The 12,537-nt window shown below is 40.9% G+C and overlaps 1 long non-coding RNA gene across 2 annotated transcripts in view; it reads right to left on the bottom strand.

Moving 5' to 3' along the window:
• The window catches only part of LOC102723639 (uncharacterized), a 92,097-nt gene that overhangs the window by 36,545 nt on the left and 43,015 nt on the right, over positions 1 to 12,537 (bottom strand). Inside the window, exons 2-4 of one of the 2 annotated variants that reach the window (XR_007063588.1) lie at positions 7,892 to 7,980; positions 7,025 to 7,134; positions 5,837 to 5,948 (exon numbers count right to left, since the gene is read on the bottom strand). The exons of the other annotated variant lie outside the window; for it this stretch is intronic. This is a non-coding gene — a long non-coding RNA (uncharacterized LOC102723639). The remainder of the gene's footprint in view (positions 1 to 5,836; positions 5,949 to 7,024; positions 7,135 to 7,891; positions 7,981 to 12,537) is intronic. 2 annotated transcript variants of the gene reach the window in all.

Below are 12,537 nucleotides of genomic sequence, written 5' to 3'. Positions count from 1 at the left end.
TTGTTTTAGTTAACAAGTTATAGCAAAACATATTTTAATATAGTTTTTATGCAGAAGAATTAACTAATAAAAGGAATACAAAGAAAATAAAGCATAGGGCAGTGCATGGAGGCTCACGCCTATAATCCCAAACTTTGGGAGGCTGAGGTGGGAGGATCATTTGAGCCCAGGAGTTCAAGGCCAGCCTGGGCAACATACTGAGACCCCGTCTCTACAAATTTTTTTTTTAATTAACCAGACATGGTGGTGCACACCTGTAGTCCCAGCTACTTAAGGGGCTGAGGTGGGAGGATCTCTTGAGCCCAGGAGGTCAAGGTTACAGTGAGTTATGATAGTGCCACTGTACTTCAGCCTGGGTGAGAGAGTGAGACCCTGTCTCAAAAAGGAATAAAAGAGAAAAGAAAAGACAGAAAATAAAAGAAAGCATAGGGTGGAAGAAAATCTTTCCAACATGTAAGATAGTCTGAAAGACATACCATGGAATACTACACAGCCACAACTAAGAACAAGGTCATGTCCTTTGCAGGGGCCTGGGTAGAGCTGGAGGCCATTCTCCTTAGCAAACTAATGCAGGAACAGAAAGCCAAATACCACATGTTCCCACTTAGAAGTGGGAGCTAAGGCAGGGCGATGTGGCTCACGCCTGTAATCCCAACATTTTGGGAGGCTGAGGTGGACAGATTGACTGAGCTCAGGAGTTCGCCACCAGCCTGGGCAACATGATGAAACCATGACTCTACTAAAATACCAAAAATTAGCCAGGCATGGTGGCACACGCCTGTAGTCACAGCTACTCGGGAGGCTGAGGCAGGAGAATGGCGTGAACCTGGGAGGCGGAGGTTGCAGTGAGCTGAGATCGCACCACTGCACTCCAGTCTGGGCGACAGAGCGAGACTGTGTCTCAAAAAAAAAAAAAAAAAAAAGACAAAAAACTGGTAGAAGTAACTGGGTAAAACATATGAGTAGTCAGTAAAGATATACAGTAACGGTCAACCACGTTAGAAACAAGAGATGCATACACATGGGATAAGCCATAGGCAGACATTTTAAGGTGCTATAACCATTGTTGGTGAAGGTTGAATCATTTTCCCTACACCCTCACTAACAATAGGAATAAGCTCTTTACCTCATTCTAAAGAGCAGTTACATTCTATCTGACAGCATTGAAAATCCTTTCTGCTCTGGCAGTTTCATTTCTAGAACTCTCTTCTAAAGAAATGTCGTTATATGTACAGCGATCCAAGTAATAGCAGTGTATTGCAGCATTTTCGCATTCACAAAATTTGGAAAGCAATCTGTAAGTAAATCAATGGAGAAATGCTTAAATGAATTATGGCATATCCATATTATGAAATATGAAGTAACTGTCTAAAAAATGAGAATGAAATATATGTACTGACATGGAAAGATGCCCATGATATTAACAGAAGAAAATGGAAATATCAGAACAATGCATGTAGTATGTACCCATCTATGCTTAAACATAAAAATTGTACAAAGATCACTGTGTACACGTGTTTGTGTGAATATGCATTCAGAAAAGAAGTCTATTAAGATTGACCCCAAAATCTTAACAGTAGTTGTCTATAGAAAGCACCGTGGGATTTGCTGAGAGAAGTAAAAGAGAAATTTTCTTTTTCACTTTTTTTTCTTGCCTAGAGCATTTGGATTTCTTTATTTGCAGTGAACGTGTAATAATTTTATAGAAAAAAATAAATAAATAAAAGAAGTAAAAGCAGAGGGGGGTTGTCAAAGGGGGGTTTTATCATCGCTGAGCATTTGCAAATGACTGGAGGCAGATGCTGCTGATGCGTGATCTCCCTAAAGGGGTCAGGAATCCATGCCGGGAGGCTGAGCTGGATTCCCCGAGACCAATAACTATCCATCTTGATCACAAAATCAGGAAGTTACTTCCACCACCTCTCTCAATAACTCATTCCAGGGCTTAATAACCTTTCCTTGCAGGAAGTTCTTCCTCTCATCACAGCTAAGTCCTTCCTGCTGCCCTGTCAGCCCTAATGAATGGGTCTCCCTTCCCTCCTTTCACTCTTGGGAATCAAGGGCCAACAGTGAGGGGCAGGGCAGGGGCCACTTCGATTTTCTGCAGTTTGTCACTTCTGTCCCATATTGTGGCAATGCCCCTGAGACCTTGGCATGGAAGTGGCCATAACCATCTATTACAGACAGAGGTTGCTTTGCTGAGGCTTCTCTCTGCAGCAAAACTCCAGCCCAAGGGGTCCCCAAGGACCCCCAGTCTGCCCATCCCCACTGCTGGACGCTGTGCTCTACACAAACGCTGCCTCCCTGGCCTCTTTCCTGTCATATTTTATGCATCCTGATGGTCACTCAGGCCAAGATTTACAGAATTCATATCCTTTCGAGATGGAGGAAAATGGGAAACTCATGATTTACTATTCCCCCAGGAAACGCTAGGGAAAGGTAGACCCAGGCGCTTAGGGGGGTGTATAGAAGTGAGGTGGGGAGACAGACAAGCATTTATTTGGTCATGGCCTCAGCAAAGTGGTGCCAGGGGTCTGCTTCCCTGAACAGCAAGCACGTTTCTTCTAGAGCCTTCCTTCCTCTCCCAGGCTTCACTAGAGTGTGTGGTGCAGGACCAGTAACTGCAGATGGCAAAGACCCAATAAGGTGGACTCCTACTCTGCATAAACTTGGGATTCCCAGAAGGGGATAAAAAAGTACATCAATAATTCCCATCCACAGCAAAGATGTTCAGACTTTTTTCACCACGGTAGTGGAGTGCACACACTTGGAAATCAGTAAAGATCTCAGTAGAGGTTTGTGACTTATTAGCGGAGGTATTTGTGGAAGTTATTTTAACCTTGTTGGGTCTATAAAGTAGGATTGATAACAGCACTTTCTTGGTCGAAATTATGTGTGTATTTAAGGAAGCATTTGAAGGACTTTGAGCCAGACTTTCCAGGTTTAATTCACAGTTGTGTGAATTAGACTCAACAGTTGTGTAATCTTAGGTAAGTCACTTAACTTTTCCACAGCTCAGTTTTCACACCTAGAGAATGGGAATGATTATAGGAATAGTAGCAACCTTATAGCGCTAACACGAGTTCATATATGTAAGTTGCTTGGAGCATTGTCTGAAACATAGTAAGTGTCATATGACTGCATATTAACATAACGAATATGTGTAGAAGATAAATCTGGGTGTGTTAAATTGTGTCCGACAATCCCAAGACAACACTGAACTCTGGGGATTAGGTCAGCATGGCTTAGTGGGTTAAAAGCTGACTTGTTTAGAGTAGATGCGCACATGCATGAAATTAACCATGACGCATAACATGTGTGCGCGTTGCTGTATATACATTAGACATCCATAAAAATAAAGACATCATTATTTTATTTGCATATTACTTATTTATTTGAGACAGGGTCTTGCTCTGTTTCCCAGGCTGGAGTGCAGTGGTTTGACTGGGTTCACTGCAGCCTCAACCTCCCAGGCTCAAGCAATCCTCCCACTTCAGCCTACCAAGTTGCTGGGATTACAGGCTAATTGTTTTATTTATTTATTTATTTATTTATTTGGTAGAGATGGGATTTCGCCATGTTGCCCAGGCTGGTCTCGAACTCCTGGGCTCAAATGATCCTCTCACCTCGGCCTCCTAAAGTGCTGAGATTACAGTCATAAGCCACTGCACATGGCTTAAAAACATAGTACTGCACATGGTTTAAAGACATAGTAATTTTAAAATAAAAATATGAAAAGTACAGACTCTGTAGTCAGATTGCTTAGGTAGACATCTACGATCCACCACTGACCAGCTATCTCACCATGGCCAATTTACATGCATTTCTGCCTCTTTTTCTGCAGCTTTGAAATAGAAATGGTATCAGTACCTAACTCAAAGAGTTAGTAGGGTTTAAATGAGATAAAACATGGAAAGCTCTGAAAAGATTGTCTAGCAAACACTATACAATATTAGAATTTTAGTGGTCCAACGAGTGGTTTGGAGTGAGAGTCTTAGGTATGCAAGTAGCTATGTCTTTTCCTAGTGACGTGGCCTTGGAACAGTCACATCTCCTTTCTTAGCTTCATATTTCTGCTTTACCACATGCAACAGTAAGGCCTAATTTGCAGAGTTGTTACAAGGGTTAGGAAGAACATATGTAAAATTGCGTTGATATGCATCTGGTCCATGGCAATTGATCACCATCAGCATCATCTTCATCATCATCATCATCATCATCTATAACAATATCATCTTTATCATCTATTACAACATCAATGTCCTCATCATTATCTGCAACATCAATGTGGTGATCATCACCACTGGTCAGGAGGGAGCAAGTCCAAATTCAAAATAAGAACACACTTCATCAAGATGGGACCAGATGCAGATGTGGAAGACTGAGGATGCAAAACCAGAGCTAAAAGTGGATTGAAGGACCTCCTGCCCCAGGCTGTGGCCTTATCCCGCACAGTCCACCATCCCTTCTTTGTATTTCAATCAAAAAAAGACTCTAAGTATTGAAAACTGAGAGGAACAAGTGATTTGAACAGCCCTTGAAATAGGGTATGATATGCCTCATCCCCTTTTTTCTCTCTAGGAATCCACAAACCCACTCCTCTACTCAGCAGTGGGGCCACCTTCTCCAGCTGGGGAATTCAAGATTCTCAGGTGCCTCTGCTTGGTAACTCCATCACACACACCTCCTGGACTGAGAACCAACTCAGTTTGCATGATACCTCAGTGAAGTCTAAGGAGATTAGATCTGTAGGTTGCCCTGAGGCAATAATAATCATTGATGTTTGTGTTAGTCCACTTTGTGTTGCTATAAAGGAACACCTGAAACTGGGTAATTGATAAAGAAAAGAGGTTTATTTGGCTTATGGATCTGCAGGCTGTACAAGCATGGCACCAGCATCTGCTCAGCTTCTAGTGAGGTCTCAGGAAGTTTTTAGTCATGGCAGAAGGCAAAGGGGAAGCAGATATGTCACATGGTGAGAGAGGGAGCCAGAGAGAAGGGTGCAAGACAGAGGAGGAGGTACCAGGATCCTTTAAGCAAATGGCTCTCACACGTGAACCCATAGACCCCACTTATTACTGCGAGCCCCAAGCCATTCATGAGAGATCCGGCCCCATGATCCTAACACTTCCAACCAGGCCCCATCCCCAACACTGGGGATCCTATTTCAACATGAGATTTGGAGGGGACAAACATCCAGGCTATATCAGCATTATTATCTAGTGCTAAGAACAGTGCCTGGTGTGCAGTAGAAGCTCAGTAAATTTGTTGAATAAATAAATGGTTTCAGCCTATATTTATGGAGTGCTTATTATGTGCAAGACAATAAGCTCAGCGTCTTACACACATGTTTTTAAGTAAGCCACACGACCAGCCCATGAGTAGCCTTCTATCACCATCCCCATTTTACAAATAAAAAAATCCAGGCACAGAGAAGTGAAGTCATGTACCCATAGTCACACAGCTAGAGAGTAGCAAAACTAGCCTTCAACTCAAGTTGAGACTGATTCCCAAGCTGGTACCCTTTCAACTTGTTTCACTGCTACTTCATAAGTTCATGTGCCGTCTACCTGCCACCCCCACCCCTCTGAGCTCAGTACTCACCCAAGTGTCTTGAACCTGACTAGGCTTTCAATAGCTGCCTCTTGAATGAATGAACAAATGTCACAGACCATCTGCTGAAGTCTCCCTGGGAAAATACATCTTTTTAAACTTTCTAACGAGTTGAAGCTTCTTTCCTCCCCGGCTCCCTTGGGCCTCTTAAAACTTCGGAAGGATGCAGCAGTCCTCAGCATAGGAGCCAACAAACAATGGGAGATTAACATCCATAACTTACAGAACACTATGATGGTTTTTCCTCTTCAGCTCAGAGCCCCTGGATCTACAATGTTTTCTCGAAGTGACCCCAAGACAAAGGCACTTTATGGTCCTGGTATCCATGGTTGCACCTGAAAAAGAGCAGGGTGTCTCTTGCCCCATCACAAGGTTATGTGAGGTCAAACTGAGAAAGTTGGTAAGGAGAGCAAGCTTGGTATCAGAAAGCGCACAGTTCGAATCCCAACTCTGTCCTTTATCTGCCTTCTGACCTTGAGCAAGAGAACCTTTTAGAGTCTCAGTTTCTGCATCTCTAGAAGGAGAATGTTAAGATGTTGATATGTATAATGTGAATAACACTTACTCTATAGGCTATTGTGACGTACTTGGGTTGCTGTTAGAAATATACTATGTTCTAAAATGTCATGGATTTAAAAATTACTTTTGTTTTATGGAGGAAAATAGGAAACTTGGGTGCCTTAACTGTGCACAATGATTGTAAGACTCATCTTGGTTTCAGAAACAAGAGAATATGAAAAGCAGTGTGTCTTAGCATTAAAGATATAGGACATTGTCATTACTGTGATGAATGTGAATACACTTTGTCAACTATTAAAAAAACACTGAATAAACAAGGAAGGCAAAGAAAGAAACTAAAATAAGAAGGTGGGCTTTATTATATACCCTTTGATAGGTCATAAAACCAAGACTGGGAGAAGTCAATCACCTACTGTAGGTCACGCAGCAAGTGATTCTCAGCTTTAGTTTTTATTTACTTTTCTTTTCTTTCACTTGATTTGATTTTACTTTGCATTTTCTTTTCTTTCTTTTTTTTTTTGAGATGGAGTCTTGCTCTGTCACCCAGGCTGGAGTGCAGTGGCACTACCTCAGCTCACTGCAAGCTCTGCCTCCCGAGTTCACGCCATTCTCCTGCCTCAGCCTCCCAAGTAGCTGGGAATACAGGTTCCCGCCACCATGCCTGGCTAATTTTTTGTATTTTTAGTAGAGATGGGGTTTCACCGTGTTAGCCAGGAGGGTCTCGATCTCCTGACCTTGTGATCCACCTGCCTCTGCCTCCCAAAGTGCTGGGATTACAGGTGTGAGCCACCACGCCCGGCCTACTTTGCATTTTATTTCCTAAGTTTATGCACTCGGGTCTTGGCTAAATCCTCTGCTCTAGAGAAACTGATATTACACTCTTTATTATTACCTGGTCTGTGGTTGGTAGATTGGTCCATTTTCTTGTGTGTGCTGCCAATGCTACACAATTGTAAGAGCCTCCCTGAAGAACTCTGTCAAAAGAGATTTTCGAATTCATACCTGAGGGCAGTGGAAAAGGCTATTGTTATCAACTAGTGATGTCTGTCATGGATGCTGAATGGGAGAGTGGTACTGAGCGTGCCATGAATTTTCTGTGTCTGAAGCAATCCTCTGAGATCTAAAGAGAGGCCTAGCTCACAAGAGCTGGAAAGGCCACTGGAGATCACCTGGTCCAAGCTTTTCACTGTATACATGAGAGGACAGAGGCCTGTAGAGGATGAGCATCTCGAGGAAATGCAGAGAGAGGGCCCAGAATCAGCCAAGCACACTTTCTCCTGCAAAGAGGGTCACCAACCACAAGTGTTTGTCCAAGGAGAGTTGCCTATTGGCAAAAGACCTTTACAAAGGCCACCCTGGAGAGCCCATTCAGGCCTCTGCTTTCTGACTTAGCCGAGAAGGCCCCTCTGACCTGCCAGGGCCACAAGGAGGTTCCCTCAGGGGCAGTCAAGGCATTTCACCCCTGGCAGAGGCTCCCAGAGGCATTTGCAGCCTCTCAACTCCCACCTTCCAGGGTTTGAGTGTGTTTACTCTGCTCACAAAGTGGCTTCCTGTTTCGAAGAGGAATGAGTTTTTTATAGGGTTATAAATGTGATTCAAAAGGCTTTTTGGACATCAAATGGCTCATAAAAAATGAAACGTTACAATGATTTCAGCATAAATGAATGAAAAACACATGGTGTATGCCTCCTACTCTTTTGTTGCAACAAAAGGTTCTGGTAAACGAAAGAAGTGGCAAGTGATTTGGACCTCAATGTACCTGAGACTTGAGTTTCCAAAGCCCAAACTGGAGCTTCTATTGCAGGCCAGGGAATATCTGAGCAGAAAGGTTGCTTCACATGGAACAAGCTAAAACACAAGGGAAAACATTTCCATAGAGCTTTATTTATTTATTTATTTATTTATTTATTTATTTATTTATTTATTTATTTTGAGATGGTGGCTCTGTTGCCCAGGCTGGAGTGCAGTGGCGCAATCATGGCTCACTGCAACCTCTGCTTCCCAAGTCCAGCAATTCTCCTGCCTCAGCCTCCCAAATATATGGAATTACAGGCAGGTGCCATCACGCCTGGCTAATTTTTTTATTTTTAGTAGAGACAGGGTTTTACCATGTTGGCCAGGCTGGTCTCGAACTCCTGTCCTCAAGTGATCTGCCTGCCCCAGCTCCTGTGATACCATAGTGCTGGGATCACAGGCATGAGCCACTGTGCCTGGCCAGTCTTTTAAAGTCTATTGTAACTGTCTTGCTGACCTTACTTATATCATCATGTACTCTTCTAAAGCAGAGTTTCTCACCCTCGGCACTATGGAATTTGAGGCTAGATGATCATGGTGGGGTCTGTTCTGTGCATTGTAGGATGTCAAGCAGCATCCTTGGCCTCCACCCACTAGATGCCAGTAGTGCTTTCCCCCAAGCTGTGACAACCAAGAGTGCCAAAGATTCCCTGGGGGACAAAACTGCCCACCTCCCATTGAGAACCTCTGTTCTAGAGTCAGAATTCATTATTGTAGAGTGTTCTAGAGCCAGTAATGTTGGGATGAAAGTGAGGGTAGATGAATGGATGGCCTTCAGGAAAAGTAAACAAAATTAAACTCTAATAGGAAATTTAAAATAATCAAGGGTCTGCATTTCTATAGAAGGCATATGCAAATTATTATTTGCAGTATTCTATCCTTTACATGAAAGTAATTTTGAAGGTCACTTAGGTAATGCACACATACATCTGAAACACAGCCAAGAGCCTGAAATTGGCTGAACTTCTAATCAGCTTGATGAACTACTTATATCAAAAGCAACACATTATAGTAGTGTGTGTGTGTGTGTGTGTGTGTGTGTGTGTGTGTGTGTGGTCAGGTGGGAACTAATGTGACCACCATCCTGGTTAGCCTAAGATTCTGATTTTAGTACTGAAAGTCCTGCATCCCAGGAAACCGCGTGGATGCCAGCAAACAGGAACAGCTGGTCATCCTAGTGGGAGAACAAAAGAGCTTTTAGAGAAGCCCATTACATACTGCTGTAAAGATGGATGTTAACACAGAAAAAAGATAATGAACTCCAAAAGTCACTCACAAACACACATAAATCTTAAGTATATAGGGCCATTTGGTGTAAGAGAAGTAGGCTTCTGTATCTGAACTTGTAGGCATCCTTGAGTTTGTTTCAGCACCACACAGTAACTGAGGTAGAGAAGGACCCCTGAGCATACAATAAATATTAGTTCTTTGGGGGTGAATATCAGTGAAATTGATGAAGCAGGTAATTCCAAGGACCTGTCTCCCTACAGCAGCTTTGAAAGATCAAGCAAAAATGGGCACACTCAACATTTTCAGAGCTCTGGGAAATAGTCAAAGGTTTATAACAATTAATCAAATGCGAAATTTTGTAAAAGCAACTTTAGAATGGTAGGAAAGCTTTGTGACTGTTTCCTTGCCCTGCCCCACCCTCTTTCTCTGCTTGGTGGTGGTCTTGAAAATGACAGCTGTCTTCCAAGGGTGGGACCATGGTTCTGGTTTTAAGGGATGCAGAGTAGACCTTACTGTCAAAGAATTATGTTTGTCTGTTTTAACTTGTCTGGGGGCTACCCGAAGGAATGACCAGGGTGCTTGTCTTTATTATGCCCAAATTGGAACTGGGCAGAAAAGTAGCTACTCAGAGTACATTTCTTCAAAACATTATAAAGCAAATGAACAACTGACTGTTGGCTAGGATGAAAGATACAGTTGAGGCAAATGGTAAATGTGTAGGAAGCCTGAGAGGACAAGCTAAGGAGAGAGTTTCTTTGGGAAATTAGGGCATTCAAAAGCCATCATATATACTTGGGAATTTAGTCCATGTGCATTCCCAGGTTAGGATGCATGATCAGAAAAGACTATAAGTTGTTAATTTATGGTCTTCATAAGTTTTTAACTCTGGCTAATATTTAGGCTTGGAACAAACAGGAAGTGAAAGCTAAGGCTAATTTGTAAATGGCCTGACTACACCTTAAAAGTATGTTCCAATACAGAGCCAATCTGAAAAGACGGGGATAATTTGTGTACTTTTCTTTTCTTTCTTTTTTCCTTCTTTCTTTCTTCTTTGAGGGAGGGAGTTCCTAAGGCTTAAGGAAATTTCTTTCAAAATACTAGCCAAACACAAGTTGAAGAAAGAGACTTCAGAGGCAACACATTACAAAGACTACAGAATGTACACAAATAGTTTAGAAAAGGCACTAAACAAATCAACAGCTACAATCCACAGCAAGCAACAAAAACAAATTCTGAGGAAGGGGAGGAATCTGATGCCCAGAATCACTACATTTTAATATTCAAAATGTCCAGTTTTCAATAACAACAAAATGATTAAGCCTGCAGGAAAGAAGAAAGTATGGACCATGAATGGGAGAAAGCCACAGAAACTGCCCCTGAGGAAGCACAGGCATTGTACTTCAGTTCATGTCAAACCAGATAAAAACTTTAAACCAACTGTCTTAAATATAAACAGATTTTTTTAAGACATGGAAAAAGAGCCAAAGGATACCAAGAGAAGGATATCTTAACAAATAAAGGATGTCAGTAAAGAGGAAATATAAAGTGGAACCAGGGAGAAATTCTAGAGTTTAAAAGTAAAATAAATAAAATGAAAATTTTATGACAAGATTTCAATAGCAGATTTGAGCAGGCAGAAGAAAGAATCAATTAACTTGAAAATAAGTCAATTGACATTATCCAGTCTGAGTTGCAGGAAGTAAAAAAGGATATAGAAGGATGAACAGAGCCAGGGAGACCTGTGGAACACCTTAAAATGTCATATGTGCAGTGGGAGTCCCAAAGGAGAGGGAAGAAAGAAAGAGGAACAAAGGATATTTGAATAATAATGGCTAAAGACTTCCCAAATTTGATAAAAGACAAGGGTTTACACAAGACAAGTGTTTCATTGAGAGAAACCCAATGAATGACAAGGATATATGCTAAGGCATCCAAGACCCATTGTAATCAAACCGTCAAAAGACAAAGACAAAGACAAAGAGAGGAGAGAAATAACTATGAGAGATTCTCAAATAACAGAAACACCCAGTTTCTCATTAGAAACCAAGGAGGCCATAAGACAACAAGATGGCATGTTTAAAGTGCTGAAAAAAAGGGTGAGGTGGGAAAGATTGTTAGCCAATAATTTTATATCTGGCAAACTATCCTTCAAAAATAAGAAAAAAATTAAGATATTTTGAGATAAACAAAAGCTGAGGAAGTTTTTCATTAGTAGATTGTCCTACGAATCTGCTTAAGAGAGTATTTCAGGCAAAAATGAAGACACTAGATAGTAACTCAAAGTCATACTAAGAGACTCAATGCTACAGAATTTTTTAGGTAAACAAAGAAAGCAGTAAGTATAAATCTGTATTGATGGTGCACAATGTATTAAGACAATACATTGTGACAATAATAACATAGACAGGAGAAGTGCTGTATAGAAACAGTTTTTGTATGGTATTAAAGCTAAATTGATATAAATTCAAACTAAATTTTTATAAATTTAGGATGTTAATGTAATGCTCCTAGTAAATACTAAGAAAATATCTTTAAAAATACAGAAAAGAAAATGAGAAGGGCATCAAAACGGTTCACTGCAAAATATCAATTAAACCATAAGAAGGCAATAAGGAGGAACATAGGAACAAAAAAGATATAAACTATATAAAAAATATATATAACAATGGTAGAAGTAAGTTTTTCCTTATGAGTAATTACTTTAAATGTAATGGATTAAAATCTTCAGTCAAAAGACAGACATTGGCAAATTGATTTTTTTTAAATGATTCTACTATATATTGTCTACAACAGACTCACTTTATATCTAAATATGCAAATAGACTGAGAGTGAAAAGTTGGAAAAAATATAGTCCATGTAAGTGGTAACCAAAAAAGAGTGGGGGTGGCTATTCTAGTATCAGATGAAAGAGTCAAAACTTCCTACAAGAGATAAAGGTCATTATACGTGGAGGAATGGGAATTCTTACATGCTGTTGGTGAGACTGTAAATTAGTACCGCCATTATGGAAAACAGTATGGCGGTTCCTCAAAAAGTTAAAAACAGGACCACCATATGATCCCAGCGATCCCATTACTGAGTATTTATCTAAAGGATATGCAATCAGTCCGTCAAAGAGATATCTACACTCCCATGTTTATTACAGCACTGTCCACAAAAGCCTAGTGATTCAATCAAAGTGCCATCAATGGGTGAATGGATAAGAAAAATGTGTTGTACATGCACACAATGCAATACTATTCAGCTATTTAAAAAAAACTGAAACTCTGTCGTTTATGGCAACATGGATGCATCTAGAGGACATTATGTTAAGTGAAATAAGCCAGAAACAAAAAGATAAATACCTCCATGATCTCACTCACTTGAAGAATTTTAAAAAT

This window comes from Homo sapiens, chromosome 12 (assembly GCF_000001405.40).
Source record: "Homo sapiens chromosome 12, GRCh38.p14 Primary Assembly".
In the NCBI taxonomy this organism is placed as follows: Eukaryota; Metazoa; Chordata; class Mammalia; order Primates; family Hominidae; genus Homo; species Homo sapiens.
This window is presented reverse-complemented; position numbering and strand designations above follow the sequence as displayed.